We start from the raw sequence: 22,693 nt of genomic DNA on the forward strand, positions 1-22,693 counted from the left end.
TCTAGGAGAAGCCAAGAACCCCCCCGGGCTAAGCCTCAATTTTGGGGCTCGCCTGTGCTGCATCAGCTTCACACCTAGAGAAGAGAGTGAAAGAGAAGGGAGAGCCGTCCTTTTGGGCTGCCTTGAAATAAAGGTTGACCCATGGGTTCATGTATTGTCATTCATTCTCATTTTCTCTTCCTCTCTTTCTCTCTCTCCCCTGCCCCTTAAGTTAGCTTTTCTACACCCTACCTGGATAAGGATAAGAAATAGAAGGAGGGGACACTTTAGGATGCTACAAAATAAAATACAACAACAACAACAATAACAGCAGCAGCAACAACAACAACAGCAACAAAAGGGGAAGAAACAAATCTGGCCACTGCACATTCCTCCTTGCCAACAAAAAGCCGCGGATGCAAAAAGCTGCCCTTCACTGCATAGACAGAAGAGGGCGCGCTCGAGCTATGAATCTCGAAAATTACTCAAACCATCAGCCTCTGCAAGAAGCAAAGTGGACGGCCGGGCGCGGCGGCTCACTCCTGGAATCCCAGCACTTTGGGAGCCCGAGGTGGGCGGATCACGAGGTCAGGAGATCGAGACTGTTCTGGCTAAACCAGTGAAACCCCCTCTCTACTAAAAAAATAAGAAAAGCGAAGTGCATCTCCCATAAACGAGGTACTGCAGGAAGAAAGCAGAAAATGAGACCCGAGTACACACATGCACGCGGGCGCGCGCACACACACACCAGAAGAAATGAACCAAGAGGAAAGGAAACATTTTCAAATAAGCATTTGGAGATGGGAAAAACACCTTGAAACAGAAATTCATAAAGCACAGAATTTTTTTTTAAGTTAAAAAAGGAACAATAATAGACAGAAAATGAATGAAAAATTAAATGTCATATCAGAAGTGAAGATAAATTAAAAGTGGTCAAAGGAGAAGAGATCTAAATGCAAACTTAAGAAGGGGCAATTTTTTTTTTTTTTTTTTTTTGAGACGCAGCCTCACTCTGTCGCCCAGGCTGGAGTGCAGTGGCGTGATCTTGGCTCACTGAAACCTCTGCCTCCTGGATTCAAGCGATTCTCCTGCCTCAGCCTCCCAAGTGGCTGGGATTACAGGCATGAGCCACCATGCCCGGCCTAGAGTCATCATGGAAATTAAACAACCTGCTTCCAAATGACTTTTGGGTAAAGACTGAATTTAAGGCAGAAATAAAAAAATTATTTGAAACTAATGAAAACAAACATACAACATCCCAGAATCTCTGGGACACAGCTAGAACAGTGCTCAAAGGAAGTTTCTAGTGCTATATGGCTACACTAAGAAGCTAGAAAGATCTCAAATGAACCGCCTAACATCACACCTAGAGGAATTAGAAAAACAAGAGCAAATCAACCCCAAAGCTAGCAGAAGAAAAAAAGAAAACCAACATCGGAGCTGACCTGAATGAAATGGAGACGTAAAAAACCATACAAAAGATCAATGAAACCCAAAGTTGATTTTTTAAAAAAATTATTTATTTATTATTTATTCCATAAATTATTGGGGTACAGGTGGTGTGTGGTTACATAAGCTCTTTAGTGGTGATTTGTGATTTTGGTGCACCCATCACCTGAGCAGTATACACTACACCCTACTTGTTGTATTTTATCCCTCGCCCCCGCCAACTCGTCCCCCTAAGTCCCCAAAGTCCATTGTATCATTCTTACGCCTTTGCGTCCTCATAGCTTAGCTCCCACATATCAGTGAGAACATACGATGTTTGGTTTTCCATTCCTGAGTTACTTCAGTTAGAATAACAGTCTCCGGTCTCATCCAGGTCACGGCAAATGCTGTTAATTCATACAAGGTTGATATTTTTGAAAGCATAAATAACATGGGAAGACCACTAGCTAGATTAATAAAGAAAAAAAGACAAGATCCAAATAAACACAATCAGAAATGACAAAGGTGACATTACCACTGACCCACAGATATACAAGAAACCCTGAGACTATTCCACATGCCTCTATGCACACAAACTAGAAAACTAGAAGAAATAGAGAAATTCCTGGAAACATAAAACCTCTCAAGATTGAACCAGGAAGAAATGGAAACCCTGAACAAACCAACGATGAGTTCCAAAATTGAGTTAGTCATACAAAACCTACCAACCAGCACAAAAAACCTTAGACTAGACGGATTCACAGTCGAATCCTACCAGATGTGTAAAGAAAAGCCGGCACCAATCCTACTGAAATTATTCCACACAATTGAGGAGGAGCAACTGCTCTCTAACTCATTCTATGAGGTCAGAGTCATTCTGATACCGAAACCTGGCAGAGACACAACGAAAAAAGGAAAATAGGTAAAGTAATACATATGTTAATGATCTTGATTTAGCCATTCTACGGTATATACATATTTCAAAACAATATGTACATGATAAATATGTACAATTTGTCAATTAAAAATATATAAAAGGAATAGGAAAAAATTCAAATGGCACAGAATTTGAAAGGAGAAGATACAGAACAAACTCCGGTGTCTTCTTTATTCAACTATATATACACACATTCAATGGACTGGGAGCAGTGGCTCAAGCCTGTAATCACAGCACTTTGGGAGGTCAAGGCGGGCAGATCACCTGAGGTCGGGAGTTCGAGACCAGCCTGACCAACAGGGAGAAACCCCAGCTCTACTAAAAATACAAAATTAGCCGGGCATGGTGGCGCATGCCTGTAATCCCAGCTACTCGGAGGCTGAGGCAGGAGAATCGCTTGAACTCAAGAGGTGGAGGTTGTGGTGAGCCGAGATGGCACCATTGCACTCCAGCCTGGGCAACAAGAGCGAAACTCAGTCTCAAAAAAAGAAAAAAAAGGATTTAATGAATGAATGATGAGACTGTTGGTTACATCTCCCACCTTCTCCCTCTCACTCCACTGCAGCCACACGGGGCTCCTCACTGTTCCCGTAGCAGCAGGCATGTGCCCCCACTGGGCCTCTGTACTGGCTGTTCCCACTGCCCGAACACCCTCATGCACCATCTGCACTGTCCAATACGGCCGCCTCTGGCCACACATGGCTACTGAGCAGTTGAACATGGCTGGTCCAAACCAAGATTTCCAAGACGTCGTATGGTAAAAAATAACATAAAATCTTGCAAAAATGTTTCTATTGATTATGTTAAAATTATGATGTTTTAGGTATATTAGGTTAAATCAGCTATTTTATCCAAATGAATCTCGCCTGTTTGTTTTTGCTTTTTTTTTTTTTTTTTTTTTTTTGAGATGGAGGCTCGCTCTGTCGCCCAGGCTAGAGTACAATGGCGTGGTCTCGGCTCACTGCATCACTGCAACCTCTACCTCCCAGGTTCAAGCGATTCTCCTACCTCACCCTCCCAAGTGGCTGGGATTACAGGCGTGTGCCACCACACCCAGCTAATTTTTGTATTTTTAGTAGAGACAGGGTTTCACCATGTTGGCCAGGCTGGTCTCGAACTGCTGACCTCGTGATCTACCTGCCTCGGCCTCCCAAAGTCCTGGGATTACAGGTGTGGGCCACTGCGCCAGCCATGTTTCTCGACTTCTGCTGGCAAGCATGTTCCAGTATTTGCATGGCTCCTAGCCCTCATCTCCATTTCTCTGCACAGATGTTACCTTCCCCATGAGGTCTGCCTTATACATGAGGCCTGTATTATAAACTGCAACTCCGCATTCCCCAACCCCGTTGTTTCTTCTCTCCAGAACACTAGGCACCATCTGATCTCCTATGCCTTTTCCTTATTGTCAGATACTGAACTCTCAGATACAGTTCCCCTTCCTCCCTCCAGGGGGCGCCATGGAACGCAGGGCCCTCACTGGCCCTGGGGACTGGGTGACGACAGGGGGGAGCCTCTGGTGATTGGCTCCCTCACCCTGCGTAAGATCAAAGGGACTAAAGGACAGCCCCGACACCCGGAGCCATTGTGGCTCAGGCCGGTTGCGCCTGCCCTCGGGCCCTCACGGAGGCGGGGGTTCCAGGGCACGAGTTCGAGGCCAGCCTGGTCCACATGGGTCGGAAAAAAGGACTTTTTTTTATCGTTCCCAATATAACGACAAAACATAAAGGGAGGACGCCTTGATAGGAAGAAATGACATCTTCCTAAGTGTTTTTAAATTACTTCCATGTGTCTTTTTTTTTTTTTTTTTTGGGAGACCGAGCCTTGCTCTGTTGCCCAGGCTGGAGTGCAGTGGTGTGATCTTCGCTCACTGCAAACTCCGCCTCGTCGGTTCAAGGGAGTCTCCTATCTAAGCCTCCTGAGTAGCTGGGATTACAGTCGCCTGCCAAGAGATGGGGTTTCGCCATGTTGACCAGGCTGGTCTTGAACACCTGGCCTCAAATGATCCACTCGCCTTGGTCTCCCAAAGTGGTAGGATGACAGGCGTGAGCCACCGCGCCCAGCCTCTTCTATTCTTTTAGAGACAGGGTCTCACTGTGTTGCCCAGGCTGGAGTGCATTGATGTGATGTGTGATCATAGCTCATTGCAGCCCTGACCATCCGAGCTCAAGCAATCCTTCTGCCTCAGCCTCCTGAGTAGCTGGGGCCGCAGATGTGCACCACTGCACCTGGCTAATTTTTAACATTTTTGTGGAGCCAGAGTCTGTATAAAATAAAGTGTAAATAGTACCATAAATAAAGAATACATAGTACCATTTTATAGTAGTATAAAACGGACATTAGAAACTCTGAACTTAAAGGTTAAAAAAATACACAAAAGTAGTTCTCAAGTTCTAGAGACTTGGAGAATCCAGGAATCAACAATGTCGTGGAACTCCTACAGCCTTTCATAAAGAATGGCCCTCGAGGAAAGTGGAATTGTCAGTGGGCATTGTGTTCGTGCCTCAGCTAAACACGGCAGGAATTTATTTATAACCTAGTGTAACATCCTCGAGGCACTGTTCAATTAGTCAAGCAATTGTAAAATTCTCCCAGTCTTAGAAAAGATACAGGTGTGTGTCCCTCTGCTGTGGCTGTGCACTGAGGCTTCGGTAAAGGTTGCCGTCTAAAACCACCGGCGTGCCCTTGAATTCTTTTTTTTTTTTTTTTCTTTTTCAGACGGAGTCGCACTCTATCACCCAGGCTGGAGTGCAGTGACACGATCTCTGTTCACTGCAACCTCCGCCTCCCGGGTTCAAGCGATTCCCCTGCCTCAGCCTCCTGAACAGCTGGGATTACAGGCACCCGTCCCCATGCCCGGGTAATTTTTGTATATTTAGTAGAGATGGGGTTTTCAGCATGTTGGCCAGGCTAGTCTCGAACTCCTTACCTCAAGTGATCCATCCGCCTCAGCCTCCCAAAGTGCTGGGATTACAGGCGTGAGCCACTGCGCCCGGCTTCTTGAATTAGTTTCTAGGAGAAGCCAAGAACCCCCCCGGGCTAAGCCTCAATTTTGGGGCTCGCCTGTGCTGCATCAGCTTCACACCTAGAGAAGAGAGTGAAAGAGAAGGGAGAGCCGTCCTTTTGGGCTGCCTTGAAATAAAGGTTGACCCATGGGTTCATGTATTGTCATTCATTCTCATTTTCTCTTCCTCTCTTTCTCTCTCTCCCCTGCCCCTTAAGTTAGCTTTTCTAAACCCTACCTGGATAAGGATAAGAAATAGAAGGAGGGGACACTTTAGGATGCTACAAAATAAAATACAACAACAACAACAATAACAGCAGCAGCAACAACAACAACAGCAACAAAAGGGGAAGAAACAAATCTGGCCACTGCACATTCCTCCTTGCCAACAAAAAGCCGCGGATGCAAAAAGCTGCCCTTCACTGCATAGACAGAAGAGGGCGCGCTCGAGCTATGAATCTCGGAAATTACTCAAACCATCAGCCTCTGCAAGAAGCAAAGTGGACGGCCGGGCGCGGTGGCTCACTCCTGGAATCCCAGCACTTTGGGAGCCCGAGGTGGGCGGATCACGAGGTCAGGAGATCGAGACTGTTCTGGCTAAACCAGTGAAACCCCCTCTCTACTAAAAAAATAACAAAAGCGAAGTGCATCTCCCATAAACGAGGTACTGCAGGAAGAAAGCAGAAAATGAGACCCGAGTACACACATGCACGCGGGCGCGCGCACACACACACCAGAAGAAATGAACCAAGAGGAAAGGAAACATTTTCAAATAAGCATTTGGAGATGGGAAAAACACCTTGAAACAGAAATTCATAAAGCACAGAATTTTTTTTTAAGTTAAAAAAGGAACAATAATAGACAGAAAATGAACGAAAAATTAAATGTCATATCAGAAGTGAAGATAAATTAAAAGTGGTCAAAGGAGAAGAGATCTAAATGCAAACTTAAGAAGGGGCAATTTTTTTTTTTTTTTTTTTTGAGACGCAGCCTCACTCTGTCGCCCGGGCTGGAGTGCAGTGGCGTGATCTTGGCTCACTGAAACCTCTGCCTCCTGGATTCAAGCGATTCTCCTGCCTCAGCCTCCCAAGTGGCTGGGATTACAGGCATGAGCCACCATGCCCGGCCTAGAGTCATCATGGAAATTAAACAACCTGCTTCCAAATGACTTTTGGGTAAAGACTGAATTTAAGGCAGAAATAAAAAAATTATTTGAAACTAATGAAAACAAACATACAACATCCCAGAATCTCTGGGACACAGCTAGAACAGTGCTCAAAGGAAGTTTCTAGTGCTATATGGCTACACTAAGAAGCTAGAAAGATCTCAAATGAACCGCCTAACATCACACCTAGAGGAATTAGAAAAACAAGAGCAAATCAACCCCAAAGCTAGCAGAAGAAAAAAAAAAACCAACATCGGAGCTGACCTGAATGAAATGGAGACGTAAAAAACCATACAAAAGATCAATGAAACCCAAAGTTGATTTTTTAAAAAAATTATTTATTTATTATTTATTCCATAAATTATTGGGGTACAGGTGGTGTGTGGTTACATAAGCTCTTTAGTGATGATTTGTGATTTTGGTGCACCCATCACCTGGGCAGTATACACTACACCCTACTTGTTGTATTTTATCCCTCGCCCCCGCCAACTCGTCCCCCTAAGTCCCCAAAGTCCATTGTATCATTCTTACGCCTTTGCGTCCTCATAGCTTAGCTCCCACATATCAGTGAGAACATACGATGTTTGGTTTTCCATTCCTGAGTTACTTCACTTAGAATAACAGTCTCCGGTCTCATCCAGGTCACGGCAAATGCTGTTAATTCATACAAAGTTGATATTTTTGAAAGCATAAATAACATGGGAAGACCACTAGCTAGATTAATAAAGAAAAAAAGACAAGATCCAAATAAACACAATCAGAAATGACAAAGGTGACATTACCACTGACCCACAGATATACAAGAAACCCTGAGACTATTCCACATGCCTCTATGCACACAAACTAGAAAACTAGAAGAAATAGAGAAATTCCTGGAAACATAAAACCTCTCAAGATTGAACCAGGAAGAAATGGAAACCCTGAACAAACCAACGATGAGTTCCAAAATTGAGTTAGTCATACAAAACCTACCAACCAGCACAAAAAACCTTAGACTAGACGGATTCACAGTCGAATCCTACCAGATGTGTAAAGAAAAGCCGGCACCAATCCTACTGAAATTATTCCACACAATTGAGGAGGAGCAACTGCTCTCTAACTCATTCTATGAGGTCAGAGTCATTCTGATACCGAAACCTGGCAGAGACACAACGAAAAAAGGAAAATAGGTAAAGTAATACATATGTTAATGATCTTGATTTAGCCATTCTACGGTATATACATATTTCAAAACAATATGTACATGATAAATATGTACAATTTGTCAATTAAAAATATATAAAAGGAATAGGAAAAAATTCAAATGGCACAGAATTTGAAAGGAGAAGATACAGAACAAACTCCGGTGTCTTCTTTATTCAACTATATATACACACATTCAATGGACTGGGAGCAGTGGCTCAAGCCTGTAATCACAGCACTTTGGGAGGTCAAGGCGGGCAGATCACCTGAGGTCGGGAGTTCGAGACCAGCCTGACCAACAGGGAGAAACCCCAGCTCTACTAAAAATACAAAATTAGCCGGGCATGGTGGCGCATGCCTGTAATCCCAGCTACTCGGAAGGCTGAGGCAGGAGAATCGCTTGAACTCAAGAGGTGGAGGTTGTGGTGAGCCGAGATGGCACCATTGCACTCCAGCCTGGGCAACAAGAGCGAAACTCAGTCTCAAAAAAAGAAAAAAAAGGATTTAATGAATGAATGATGAGACTGTTGGTTACATCTCCCACCTTCTCCCTCTCACTCCACTGCAGCCACACGGGGCTCCTCACTGTTCCCGTAGCAGCAGGCATGTGCCCCCACTGGGCCTCTGTACTGGCTGTTCCCACTGCCCGAACACCCTCATGCACCATCTGCACTGTCCAATACGGCCGCCTCTGGCCACACATGGCTACTGAGCAGTTGAACATGGCTGGTCCAAACCAACATTTCCAAGACGTCGTATGGTAAAAAATAACATAAAATCTTGCAAAAATGTTTCTATTGATTATGTTAAAATTATGATGTTTTAGGTATATTAGGTTAAATCAGCTATTTTATCCAAATGAATCTCGCCTGTTTGTTTTTGCTTTTTTTTTTTTTTTTTTTTTTTGAGATGGAGGCTCGCTCTGTCGCCCAGGCTAGAGTACAATGGCGTGGTCTCGGCTCACTGCATCACTGCAACCTCTATCTCCCAGGTTCAAGCGATTCTCCTACCTCACCCTCCCAAGTGGCTGGGATTACAGGCGTGTGCCACCACACCCAGCTAATTTTTGTATTTTTAGTAGAGACAGGGTTTCACCATGTTGGCCAGGCTGGTCTCGAACTGCTGACCTCGTGATCTACCTGCCTCGGCCTCCCAAAGTCCTGGGATTACAGGTGTGGGCCACTGCGCCGGCCATGTTTCTCGACTTCTGCTGGCAAGCATGTTCCAGTATTTGCATGGCTCCTAGCCCTCATCTCCATTTCTCTGCACAGATGTTACCTTCCCCATGAGGTCTGCCTTATACATGAGGCCTGTATTATAAAGTGCAACTCCGCATTCCCCAACCCCGTTGTTTCTTCTCTCCAGAACACTAGGCACCATCTGATCTCCTATGCCTTTTCCTTATTGTCAGATACTGAACTCTCAGATACAGTTCCCCTTCCTCCCTCCAGGGGGCGCCATGGAACGCAGGGCCCTCACTGGCCCTGGGGACTGGGTGACGACAGGGGGGAGCCTCTGGTGATTGGCTCCCTCACCCTGCGTAAGATCAAAGGGACTAAAGGACAGCCCCGACACCCGGAGCCATTGTGGCTCAGGCCGGTTGCGCCTGCCCTCGGGCCCTCACGGAGGCGGGGGTTCCAGGGCACGAGTTCGAGGCCAGCCTGGTCCACATGGGTCGGAAAAAAGGATTTTTTTTATCGTTCCCAATATAACGACAAAACGTAAAGGGAGGACGCCTTGATAGGAAGAAATGACATCTTCCTAAGTGTTTTTAAATTACTTCCATGTGTCTTTTTTTTTTTTTTTTTTTGGGAGACCGAGCCTTGCTCTGTTGCCCAGGCTGGAGTGCAGTGGTGTGATCTTCGCTCACTGCAACCTCCGCCTCGTCGGTTCAAGGGAGTCTCCTATCTAAGCCTCCTGAGTAGCTGGGATTACAGTCGCCTGCCAAGAGATGGGGTTTCGCCATGTTGACCAGGCTGGTCTTGAACACCTGGCCTCAAATGATCCACTCGCCTTGGTCTCCCAAAGTGGTAGGATGACAGGCGTGAGCCACCGCGCCCAGCCTCTTCTATTCTTTTAGAGACAGCGTCTCACTCTGTTGCCCAGGCTGGAGTGCATTGATGTGATGTGTGATCATAGCTCATTGCAGCCCTGACCATCCGAGCTCAAGCAATCCTTCTGCCTCAGCCTCCTGAGTAGCTGGGGCCGCAGATGTGCACCACTGCACCTGGCTAATTTTTAACATTTTTGTGGAGCCAGAGTCTGTATAAAATAAAGTGTAAATAGTACCATAAATAAAGAATACATAGTACCATTTTATAGTAGTATAAAACGGACATTAGAAACTCAGAACTTAAAGGTTAAAAAAATACACAAAAGTAGTTCTCAAGTTCTAGAGACTTGGAGAATCCAGGAATCAACAATGTCGTGGAACTCCTACAGCCTTTCATAAAGAATGGCCCTCGAGGAAAGTGGAATTGTCAGTGGGCATTGTGTTCGTGCCTCAGCTAAACACGGCAGGAATTTATTTATAACCTAGTGTAACATCCTCGAGGCACTGTTCAATTAGTCAAGCAATTGTAAAATTCTCCCAGTCTTAGAAAAGATACAGGTGTGTGTCCCTCTGCTGTGGCTGTGCACTGAGGCTTCGGTAAAGGTTGCCGTCTAAAACCACCGGCGTGCCCTTGAATTCTTTTTTTTTTTTTTTTTCTTTTTCAGACGGAGTCGCACTCTATCACCCAGGCTGGAGTGCAGTGACACGATCTCTGTTCACTGCAACCTCCGCCTCCCGGGTTCAAGCGATTCCCCTGCCTCAGCCTCCTGAACAGCTGGGATTACAGGCACCCGTCCCCATGCCCGGGTAATTTTTGTATATTTAGTAGAGATGGGGTTTCACCATGTTGGCCAGGCTGGTCTCGAACTCCTTACCTCAAGTGATCCATCCGCCTCAGCCTCCCAAAGTGCTGGGATTACAGGCGTGAGCCAGTGCGCCCGGCTTCTTGAATTAGTTTCTAGGAGAAGCCAAGAACCCCCCCGAGCTAAGCCTCAATTTTGGGGCTCGCCTGTGCTGCATCAGCTTCACACCTAGAGAAGAGAGTGAAAGAGAAGGGAGAGCCGTCCTTTTGGGCTGCCTTGAAATAAAGGTTGACCCATGGGTTCATGTATTGTCATTCATTCTCATTTTCTCTTCCTCTCTTTCTCTCTCTCCCCTGCCCCTTAAGTTAGCTTTTCTACACCCTACCTGGATAAGGATAAGAAATAGAAGGAGGGGACACTTTAGGATGCTACAAAATAAAATACAACAACAACAACAATAACAGCAGCAGCAACAACAACAACAGCAACAAAAGGGGAAGAAACAAATCTGGCCACTGCACATTCCTCCTTGGCAACAAAAAGCCGTGGATGCAAAAAGCTGCCCTTCACTGCATAGACAGAACAGGGCGCGCTCGAGCTATGAATCTCGGAAATTACTCAAGCCATCAGCCTCTGCAAGAAGCAAAGTGGACGGCCGGGCGCGGCGGCTCACTCCTGGAATCCCAGCACTTTGGGAGCCCGAGGTGGGCGGATCACGAGGTCAGGAGATCGAGACTGTTCTGGCTAAACCAGTGAAACCCCCTCTCTACTAAAAAAATAACAAAAGCGAAGTGCATCTCCCATAAACGAGGTACTGCAGGAAGAAAGCAGAAAATGAGACCCGAGTACACACATGCACGCGGGCGTGCGCACACACACACCAGAAGAAATGAACCAAGAGGAAAGGAAATATTTTCAAGTAAGCATTTGGAGATGGGAAAAACACCTTGAAACAGAAATTCATAAAGTACACACATGTTTTTTTTTTTAAGTTAAAAGAGGAACAATAATAAACAGGCAGAAAATGAATAAAAAATAAAATGTCATATCAGAAGTGAAGATAAATTAAAAGTGGTCAAAGGAGAAGAGATCTAAATGCAAACTTAAGAAGGGGCAATTTTTTTTTTTTTTTTTTGAGACGCAGCCTCACTCTGTCGCCCGGGCTGGAGTGCAGTGGCGTGATCTTGGCTCACTGAAACCTCTGCCTCCTGGATTCAAGCGATTCTCCTGCCTCAGCCTCCCAAGTGGCTGGGATTACAGGCATGAGCCACCATGCCCGGCCTAGAGTCATCATGGAAATTAAACAATGAAACCCAAAGTTGATTTTTTAAAAAAATTATTTATTATTTATTCCATAAATTATTGGGGTACAGGTGGTATGTGGTTACATAAGCTCTTTAGTGGTGATTTGTGATTTTGGTGCACCCATCACCTGAGCAGTATACACTACCCCCTATTTGTTGTCTTTTATCCCTCGCCCTCGCCAACTCGTCCCCCTAAGTCCCCAAAGTCCATTGTATCATTCTTATGCCTTTGTGTCCTCATAGCTTAGGTCCCACATATCAGTGAGAACATACGATGTTTGGTTTTCCATTCCTGAGTTACTTCACTTAGAATAATACTCTCCGGTCTCATCCAGGTCACTGCAAATGCTGTTAATTCATACAAAGTTGATATTTTTGGAAGCATAAATAACATGGAAAGACCACTAGCTAGATTAATAAAGAAAAAAAGACAAGATCCAAATAAACACAATCAGAAATGACAGAGGTGACATTACCACTGACCCACAGACATACAAGAAACCCTGAGACTATTCCACATGCCTCTATGCACAAAAACTAGAAAACTAGAAGAAATAGATAAATTCCTGGAAACATAAAACCTCTCAAGATTGAACCAGGAAGAAATGGAAACCCTGAACAAACCAACGATGAGTTCCAAAATTGAGTTAGTCATACAAGACCTACCAACCAGCGCAAAAAACCTTAGACTAGACGGATTCACAGTCGAATTCTACCAGATGTGTAAAGAAAAGCCGGCACCAATCCTACTGAAATTATTCCACACAATTGAGGAGGAGCAACTGCTCTCTAACTCATTCTATGAGGTCAGAGTCATTCTGATACCGAAACCTGGCAGAGACACAACGAAAAAAGGAAAATAGGTAAAGTAATACATATGTTAATGATCTTGATTTAGCCATTCTACGGTATATACATATTTCAAAACAATATGTACATGATAAATATGTACAATTTGTCAATTAAAAATATATAAAAGGAAGAGGAAAAAATTCAAATGGCGTAGAATTTGAAAGGAGAAGATACAGAACAAACTCCAGTGTCTTATTATTCAACTATATATACACACGTTCAATGGACCGGGAGCAGTGGCTCAAGCCTGTAATCACAGCACTTTGGGAGGTCAAGGCGGGCAGATCACCTGAGGTCGGGAGTTCGAGACCAGCCTGACCAACAGAGAGAAACCCCAGCTCTACTAAAAATACAAAATTAGCCGGGCATGGTGACGCATGCCTGTAATCCCAGCTACTCGGGAGGGTGAGGCAGGAGAATCGCTTGAACTCAAGAGGTGGAGGTTGTGGTGAGCCGAGATGGCACCATTGCACTCCAGCCTGGGCAACAAGAGCGAAACTCAGTCTCAAAAAAAAAAAAAAAAAAAGAAAAAGGATTTAATGAATGAATGATGAGACCGTTGGTGACATCTCCCACCTTCTCCCTCTCACTCCACTGCAGCCACACGGGGCTCCTCACTGTTCCCGTAGAAGCAGGCATGTGCCCCCACAGGGCCTCTGTACTGGCTGTTCCCACTGCCCGAACACCCTCATGCACCATCTGCACTGTCCAATACGGCCGCCTCTGGCCACACATGGCTACTGAGCAGTTGAACATGGCTGGTCCAAACCAAGATTTCCAAGACGTCGTGTGGTAAAAAAAACAACATAAAATTTTGCAAAAATGTTTCTATTGATTATGTTAAAATTATGATGTTTTAGGTATATTAGGTTAAATCAGCTATTTTATCAAAATGAATCTCGCCTGTTTGTTTTTGCTTTTTTTTTTTTTTTTTGAGATGGAGTCTCGCTCTGTCGCCCAGGCTAGAGTACAATGGCGTGGTCTCAGCTCACTGCATCACTGCAACCTCTACCTCCCAGGTTCAAGCGATTCTCCTACCTCACCCTCCCAAGTGGCTGGGATTACAGGCGTGTGCCACCACACCCAGCTAATTTTTGTATTTTTGTAGAGACAGGGTTTCACCATGTTGGCCAGGCTGGTCTCGAACTGCTGACCTCGTGATCTACCTGCCTCGGCCTCCCAAAGTCCTGGGATTACAGGTGTGGGCCACTGCGCCGGCCATGTTTCTCGACTTCTGCTGGCAAGCATGTTCCAGTATTTGCATGGCTCCTAGCCCTCATCTCCATTTCTCTGCACAGATGTTATCTTCCCCATGAGGTCTGCCTTATACATGAGGCCTGTATTATAAAGTGCAACTGCCAATTCGCCAACCCCGTTGTTTCTTCTCTCCAGAACACTAGGCACCATCTGATCTCCTATGCCTTTTCCTTATTGTCAGATACTGAACTCTCAGATACAGTTCCCCTTCCTCCCTCCAGGGGGCGCCATGGAACGCAGGGCCCTCACTGGCCCTGGGGACTGGGTGACGTCAGGGGTGAGCCTCTGGTGATTGGCTCCCTCACCGTGCGTAAGATCAAAGGGCCTAAAGGTCAGCCCCGACACCCGGAGCTATTGTGGCTCCGGCCGGTTGCGCGGGCCCTCGGACCCTCAGAGAGGCGAGGGTTCGAGGGCTCGAGTTCGAGGCCAACCTGGTCCACATGGGTTGAAAAAAAAATTTTTTTTATCGTTCCCAATATAACGACAAAACATAAAGGGAGGACGCCTTGATAGGAAGAAATGACATCTTCCTAAGTGTTTTTAAATTACTTCAATGTATCTTTCTTTTTTTTTTTTTTTTTGGGAGACCGAGGCTTGCTCTGTTGCCCAGGCTGGAGTGCAGTGGTGTGATCTTGGCTCACTGCAACCTCTGCCTCGTCGGTTCAAGGGAGTCTCCTATCTCAGCCTCCTGAGTAGCTGGGATTACAGTCGCCTGCCAAGAGATGGGGTTTCGCCATGTTGACCAGGCTGGTCTTGAACACCTGGCCTCAAATGATCCACTCGCCTTGGTCTCCCAAAGTGGTAGGATGACAGGCGTGAGCCACCGCGCCCAGCCTCTTCTATTCTTTTAGAGACAGCGTCTCACTCTGTTGCCCAGGCTGGAGTGCATTGATGTGATGTGTGATCATAGCTCATTGCAGCCCTGACCATCCGAGCTCAAGCAATCCTTCTGCCTCAGCCTCCTGAGTAGCTGGGGCCGCAGATGTGCACCACTGCACCTGGCTAATTTTTAACATTTTTTGTGGAGCCAGAGTCTGTATAAAATAAAGTGTAAATAGTACCATAAATAAAGAATACATAGTACCATTTTATAGTAGTATAAAACGGACATTAGAAACTCTGGACTTAAAGTTTAAAAAAATACACAAAAGTAGTTCTCAAGTTCTAGAGACTTGGAGAATCCAGGAATCAACAATGTCGTGGAACTCCTACAGCCTTTCATAAAGAATGGCCCTCGAGGAAAGTGGAATTGTCAGTGGGCATTGTGTTCGTGCCTCAGCTAAACACGGCAGGAATTTATTTATAACCTAGTGTAACATCCTCGAGGCACTGTTCAATTAGTCAAGCAATTGTAAAATTCTCCCAGTCTTAGAAAAGATACAGGTGTGTGTCCCTCTGCTGTGGCTGTGCACTGACGCTTCAGTAAAAGTTGCCGTCTAAAACCACCGGCCTGCCCTTGAATTGTTTTGTTTTGTTTTGTTTTGTTTTGTTTTTTTGATTCGCAGCCTCACTCTATCACCCAGGCTGGAGTGCAGTGACACGATCTCTGTTCACTGCAACCTCCGCCTCCCGGGTTCAAGCGATTCCCCTGCCTCAGCCTCCTGAACAGCTGGGATTACAGGCACCCGTCCCCATGCCCGGGTAATTTTTGTATATTTAGTAGAGATGGGGTTTCACCATGTTGGCCAGGCTGGTCTCGAACTCCTTACCTCAAGTGATCCATCCGCCTCAGCCTCCCAAAGTGCTGGGATTACAGGCGTGAGCCAGTGCGCCCGGCTTCTTGAATTAGTTTCTAGGAGAAGCCAAGAACCCCCCCGGGCTAAGCCTCAATTTTGGGGCTCGCCTGTGCTGCATCAGCTTCACACCTAGAGAAGAGAGTGAAAGAGAAGGGAGAGCCGTCCTTTTGGGCTGCCTTGAAATAAAGGTTGACCCATGGGTTCATGTATTGTCATTCATTCTCATTTTCTCTTCCTCTCTTTCTCTCTCTCCCCTGCCCCTTAAGTTAGCTTTTCTACACCCTACCTGGATAAGGATAAGAAATAGAAGGAGGGGACACTTTAGGATGCTACACAATAAAATACAACAACAACAACAATAACAGCAGCAGCAACAACAACAACAGCAACAAAAGGGGAAGAAACAAATCTGGCCACTGCACATTCCTCCTTGCCAACAAAAAGCCGCGGATGCAAAAAGCTGCCCTTCACTGCATAGACAGAAGAGGGCGCGCTCGAGCTATGAATCTCGAAAATTACTCAAACCATCAGCCTCTGCAAGAAGCAAAGTGGACGGCCGGGCGCGGCGGCTCACTCCTGGAATCCCAGCACTTTGGGAGCCCGAGGTGGGCGGATCACGAGGTCAGGAGATCGAGACTGTTCTGGCTAAACCAGTGAAACCCCCTCTCTACTAAAAAAATAAGAAAAGCGAAGTGCATCTCCCATAAACGAGGTACTGCAGGAAGAAAGCAGAAAATGAGACCCGAGTACACACATGCACGCGGGCGCGCGCACACACACACCAGAAGAAATGAACCAAGAGGAAAGGAAACATTTTCAAATAAGCATTTGGAGATGGGAAAAACACCTTGAAACAGAAATTCATAAAGCACAGAATTTTTTTTTAAGTTAAAAAAGGAACAATAATAGACAGAAAATGAATGAAAAATTAAATGTCATATCAGAAGTGAAGATAAATTAAAAGTGGTCAAAGGAGAAGAGATCTAAATGCAAACTTAAGAAGGGGCAATTTTTTTTTTTTTTTTTTTTTGAGACGCAGCCTCACTCTGTCGCCCAGGCTGGAGTGCAGTGGCGTGATCTTGGCTCACTGAAACCTCTGCCTCCTGGATTCAAGCGATTCTCCTGCCTCAGCCTCCCAAGTGGCTGGGATTACAGGCATGAGCCACCATGCCCGGCCTAGAGTCATCATGGAAATTAAACAACCTGCTTCCAAATGACTTTTGGGTAAAGACTGAATTTAAGGCAGAAATAAAAAAATTATTTGAAACTAATGAAAACAAACATACAACATCCCAGAATCTCTGGGACACAGCTAGAACAGTGCTCAAAGGAAGTTTCTAGTGCTATATGGCTACACTAAGAAGCTAGAAAGATCTCAAATGAACCGCCTAACATCACACCTAGAGGAATTAGAAAAACAAGAGCAAATCAACCCCAAAGCTAGCAGAAGAAAAAAAGAAAACCAACATCGGAGCTGACCTGAATGAAATGGAGACGTAAAAAACCATACAAAAGATCAATGAAACCCAAAGTTGATTTTTTAAAAAAATTATTTATTTATTATTTATTCCATAAATTATTGGGGTACAGGTGGTGTGTGGTTACATAAGCTCTTTAGTGGTGATTTGTGATTTTGGTGCACCCATCACCTGAGCAGTATACACTACACCCTACTTGTTGTATTTTATCCCTCGCCCCCGCCAACTCGTCCCCCTAAGTCCCCAAAGTCCATTGTATCATTCTTACGCCTTTGCGTCCTCATAGCTTAGCTCCCACATATCAGTGAGAACATACGATGTTTGGTTTTCCATTCCTGAGTTACTTCAGTTAGAATAACAGTCTCCGGTCTCATCCAGGTCACGGCAAATGCTGTTAATTCATACAAGGTTGATATTTTTGAAAGCATAAATAACATGGGAAGACCACTAGCTAGATTAATAAAGAAAAAAAGACAAGATCCAAATAAACACAATCAGAAATGACAAAGGTGACATTACCACTGACCCACAGATATACAAGAAACCCTGAGACTATTCCACATGCCTCTATGCACACAAACTAGAAAACTAGAAGAAATAGAGAAATTCCTGGAAACATAAAACCTCTCAAGATTGAACCAGGAAGAAATGGAAACCCTGAACAAACCAACGATGAGTTCCAAAATTGAGTTAGTCATACAAAACCTACCAACCAGCACAAAAAACCTTAGACTAGACGGATTCACAGTCGAATCCTACCAGATGTGTAAAGAAAAGCCGGCACCAATCCTACTGAAATTATTCCACACAATTGAGGAGGAGCAACTGCTCTCTAACTCATTCTATGAGGTCAGAGTCATTCTGATACCGAAACCTGGCAGAGACACAACGAAAAAAGGAAAATAGGTAAAGTAATACATATGTTAATGATCTTGATTTAGCCATTCTACGGTATATACATATTTCAAAACAATATGTACATGATAAATATGTACAATTTGTCAATTAAAAATATATAAAAGGAATAGGAAAAAATTCAAATGGCACAGAATTTGAAAGGAGAAGATACAGAACAAACTCCGGTGTCTTCTTTATTCAACTATATATACACACATTCAATGGACTGGGAGCAGTGGCTCAAGCCTGTAATCACAGCACTTTGGGAGGTCAAGGCGGGCAGATCACCTGAGGTCGGGAGTTCGAGACCAGCCTGACCAACAGGGAGAAACCCCAGCTCTACTAAAAATACAAAATTAGCCGGGCATGGTGGCGCATGCCTGTAATCCCAGCTACTCGGAAGGCTGAGGCAGGAGAATCGCTTGAACTCAAGAGGTGGAGGTTGTGGTGAGCCGAGATGGCACCATTGCACTCCAGCCTGGGCAACAAGAGCGAAACTCAGTCTCAAAAAAAGAAAAAAAAGGATTTAATGAATGAATGATGAGACTGTTGGTTACATCTCCCACCTTCTCCCTCTCACTCCACTGCAGCCACACGGGGCTCCTCACTGTTCCCGTAGCAGCAGGCATGTGCCCCCACTGGGCCTCTGTACTGGCTGTTCCCACTGCCCGAACACCCTCATGCACCATCTGCACTGTCCAATACGGCCGCCTCTGGCCACACATGGCTACTGAGCAGTTGAACATGGCTGGTCCAAACCAACATTTCCAAGACGTCGTATGGTAAAAAATAACATAAAATCTTGCAAAAATGTTTCTATTGATTATGTTAAAATTATGATGTTTTAGGTATATTAGGTTAAATCAGCTATTTTATCCAAATGAATCTCGCCTGTTTGTTTTTGCTTTTTTTTTTTTTTTTTTTTTTTGAGATGGAGGCTCGCTCTGTCGCCCAGGCTAGAGTACAATGGCGTGGTCTCGGCTCACTGCATCACTGCAACCTCTACCTCCCAGGTTCAAGCGATTCTCCTACCTCACCCTCCCAAGTGGCTGGGATTACAGGCGTGTGCCACCACACCCAGCTAATTTTTGTATTTTTAGTAGAGACAGGGTTTCACCATGTTGGCCAGGCTGGTCTCGAACTGCTGACCTCGTGATCTACCTGCCTCGGCCTCCCAAAGTCCTGGGATTACAGGTGTGGGCCACTGCGCCAGCCATGTTTCTCGACTTCTGCTGGCAAGCATGTTCCAGTATTTGCATGGCTCCTAGCCCTCATCTCCATTTCTCTGCACAGATGTTACCTTCCCCATGAGGTCTGCCTTATACATGAGGCCTGTATTATAAACTGCAACTCCGCATTCCCCAACCCCGTTGTTTCTTCTCTCCAGAACACTAGGCACCATCTGATCTCCTATGCCTTTTCCTTATTGTCAGATACTGAACTCTCAGATACAGTTCCCCTTCCTCCCTCCAGGGGGCGCCATGGAACGCAGGGCCCTCACTGGCCCTGGGGACTGGGTGACGACAGGGGGGAGCCTCTGGTGATTGGCTCCCTCACCCTGCGTAAGATCAAAGGGACTAAAGGACAGCCCCGACACCCGGAGCCATTGTGGCTCAGGCCGGTTGCGCCTGCCCTCGGGCCCTCACGGAGGCGGGGGTTCCAGGGCACGAGTTCGAGGCCAGCCTGGTCCACATGGGTCGGAAAAAAGGACTTTTTTTTATCGTTCCCAATATAACGACAAAACATAAAGGGAGGACGCCTTGATAGGAAGAAATGACATCTTCCTAAGTGTTTTTAAATTACTTCCATGTGTCTTTTTTTTTTTTTTTTTTGGGAGACCGAGCCTTGCCCTGTTGCCCAGGCTGGAGTGCAGTGGTGTGATCTTCGCTCACTGCAACCTCCGCCTCGTCGGTTCAAGGGAGTCTCCTATCTAAGCCTCCTGAGTAGCTGGGATTACAGTCGCCTGCCAAGAGATGGGGTTTCGCCATGTTGACCAGGCTGGTCTTGAACACCTGGCCTCAAATGATCCACTCGCCTTGGTCTCCCAAAGTGGTAGGATGACAGGCGTGAGCCACCGCGCCCAGCCTCTTCTATTCTTTTAGAGACAGGGTCTCACTGTGTTGCCCAGGCTGGAGTGCATTGATGTGATGTGTGATCATAGCTCATTGCAGCCCTGACCATCCGAGCTCAAGCAATCCTTCTGCCTCAGCCTCCTGAGTAGCTGGGGCCGCAGATGTGCACCACTGCACCTGGCTAATTTTTAACATTTTTGTGGAGCCAGAGTCTGTATAAAATAAAGTGTAAATAGTACCATAAATAAAGAATACATAGTACCATTTTATAGTAGTATAAAACGGACATTAGAAACTCTGAACTTAAAGGTTAAAAAAATACACAAAAGTAGTTCTCAAGTTCTAGAGACTTGGAGAATCCAGGAATCAACAATGTCGTGGAACTCCTACAGCCTTTCATAAAGAATGGCCCTCGAGGAAAGTGGAATTGTCAGTGGGCATTGTGTTCGTGCCTCAGCTAAACACGGCAGGAATTTATTTATAACCTAGTGTAACATCCTCGAGGCACTGTTCAATTAGTCAAGCAATTGTAAAATTCTCCCAGTCTTAGAAAAGATACAGGTGTGTGTCCCTCTGCTGTGGCTGTGCACTGAGGCTTCGGTAAAGGTTGCCGTCTAAAACCACCGGCGTGCCCTTGAATTCTTTTTTTTTTTTTTTTCTTTTTCAGACGGAGTCGCACTCTATCACCCAGGCTGGAGTGCAGTGACACGATCTCTGTTCACTGCAACCTCCGCCTCCCGGGTTCAAGCGATTCCCCTGCCTCAGCCTCCTGAACAGCTGGGATTACAGGCACCCGTCCCCATGCCCGGGTAATTTTTGTATATTTAGTAGAGATGGGGTTTCACCATGTTGGCCAGGCTGGTCTCGAACTCCTTACCTCAAGTGATCCATCCGCCTCAGCCTCCCAAAGTGCTGGGATTACAGGCGTGAGCCAGTGCGCCCGGCTTCTTGAATTAGTTTCTAGGAGAAGCCAAGAACCCCCCCGGGCTAAGCCTCAATTTTGGGGCTCGCCTGTGCTGCATCAGCTTCACACCTAGAGAAGAGAGTGAAAGAGAAGGGAGAGCCGTCCTTTTGGGCTGCCTTGAAATAAAGGTTGACCCATGGGTTCATGTATTGTCATTCATTCTCATTTTCTCTTCCTCTCTTTCTCTCTCTCCCCTGCCCCTTAAGTTAGCTTTTCTACACCCTACCTGGATAAGGATAAGAAATAGAAGGAGGGGACACTTTAGGATGCTACACAATAAAATACAACAACAACAACAATAACAGCAGCAGCAACAACAACAACAGCAACAAAAGGGGAAGAAACAAATCTGGCCACTGCACATTCCTCCTTGCCAACAAAAAGCCGCGGATGCAAAAAGCTGCCCTTCACTGCATAGACAGAACAGGGCGCGCTCGAGCTATGAATCTCGAAAATTACTCAAACCATCAGCCTCTGCAAGAAGCAAAGTGGACGGCCGGGCGCGGCGGCTCACTCCTGGAATCCCAGCACTTTGGGAGCCCGAGGTGGGCGGATCACGAGGTCAGGAGATCGAGACTGTTCTGGCTAAACCAGTGAAACCCCCTCTCTACTAAAAAAATAAGAAAAGCGAAGTGCATCTCCCATAAACGAGGTACTGCAGGAAGAAAGCAGAAAATGAGACCCGAGTACACACATGCACGCGGGCGCGCGCACACACACACCAGAAGAAATGAACCAAGAGGAAAGGAAACATTTTCAAATAAGCATTTGGAGATGGGAAAAACACCTTGAAACAGAAATTCATAAAGCACAGAATTTTTTTTTAAGTTAAAAAAGGAACAATAATAGACAGAAAATGAATGAAAAATTAAATGTCATATCAGAAGTGAAGATAAATTAAAAGTGGTCAAAGGAGAAGAGATCTAAATGCAAACTTAAGAAGGGGCAATTTTTTTTTTTTTTTTTTTGAGACGCAGCCTCACTCTGTCGCCCAGGCTGGAGTGCAGTGGCGTGATCTTGGCTCACTGAAACCTCTGCCTCCTGGATTCAAGCGATTCTCCTGCCTCAGCCTCCCAAGTGGCTGGGATTACAGGCATGAGCCACCATGCCCGGCCTAGAGTCATCATGGAAATTAAACAACCTGCTTCCAAATGACTTTTGGGTAAAGACTGAATTTAAGGCAGAAATAAAAAAATTATTTGAAACTAATGAAAACAAACATACAACATCCCAGAATCTCTGGGACACAGCTAGAACAGTGCTCAAAGGAAGTTTCTAGTGCTATATGGCTACACTAAGAAGCTAGAAAGATCTCAAATGAACCGCCTAACATCACACCTAGAGGAATTAGAAAAACAAGAGCAAATCAACCCCAAAGCTAGCAGAAGAAAAAAAGAAAACCAACATCGGAGCTGACCTGAATGAAATGGAGACGTAAAAAACCATACAAAAGATCAATGAAACCCAAAGTTGATTTTTTAAAAAAATTATTTATTTATTATTTATTCCATAAATTATTGGGGTACAGGTGGTGTGTGGTTACATAAGCTCTTTAGTGGTGATTTGTGATTTTGGTGCACCCATC

At 45.4% G+C, this 22,693-nt stretch overlaps 4 non-coding genes across 4 annotated transcripts; all 4 read left to right on the top strand.

The window, feature by feature from the left end:
• The first annotated feature begins 3,917 nt into the window (after nucleotides 1–3,917).
• Nucleotides 3,918–4,039, top strand: SNAR-A1 (small NF90 (ILF3) associated RNA A1). Its single transcript, NR_004435.1, has one exon. It is a non-coding gene; the product is annotated as a small NF90 (ILF3) associated RNA A1 (small nuclear RNA).
• Nucleotides 4,040–9,267: 5,228 nt separating this feature from the next.
• On the top strand, nucleotides 9,268–9,388 carry SNAR-A3 (small NF90 (ILF3) associated RNA A3). The gene has a single exon (NR_024214.1). It is a non-coding gene; the product is annotated as a small NF90 (ILF3) associated RNA A3 (small nuclear RNA).
• Nucleotides 9,389–14,306: 4,918 nt separating this feature from the next.
• On the top strand, nucleotides 14,307–14,426 carry SNAR-C2 (small NF90 (ILF3) associated RNA C2). Its single transcript, NR_024217.1, has one exon. It is a non-coding gene; the product is annotated as a small NF90 (ILF3) associated RNA C2 (small nuclear RNA).
• Nucleotides 14,427–19,669: 5,243 nt separating this feature from the next.
• SNAR-A2 (small NF90 (ILF3) associated RNA A2) lies at nucleotides 19,670–19,791 on the top strand. Its single transcript, NR_004436.1, has one exon. It is a non-coding gene; the product is annotated as a small NF90 (ILF3) associated RNA A2 (small nuclear RNA).
• The last annotated feature ends 2,902 nt before the right edge of the window (nucleotides 19,792–22,693 follow it).

Source organism: Homo sapiens, chromosome 19 (genome assembly GCF_000001405.40).
Source record: "Homo sapiens chromosome 19, GRCh38.p14 Primary Assembly".
Classification (NCBI taxonomy): Eukaryota; Metazoa; Chordata; class Mammalia; order Primates; family Hominidae; genus Homo; species Homo sapiens.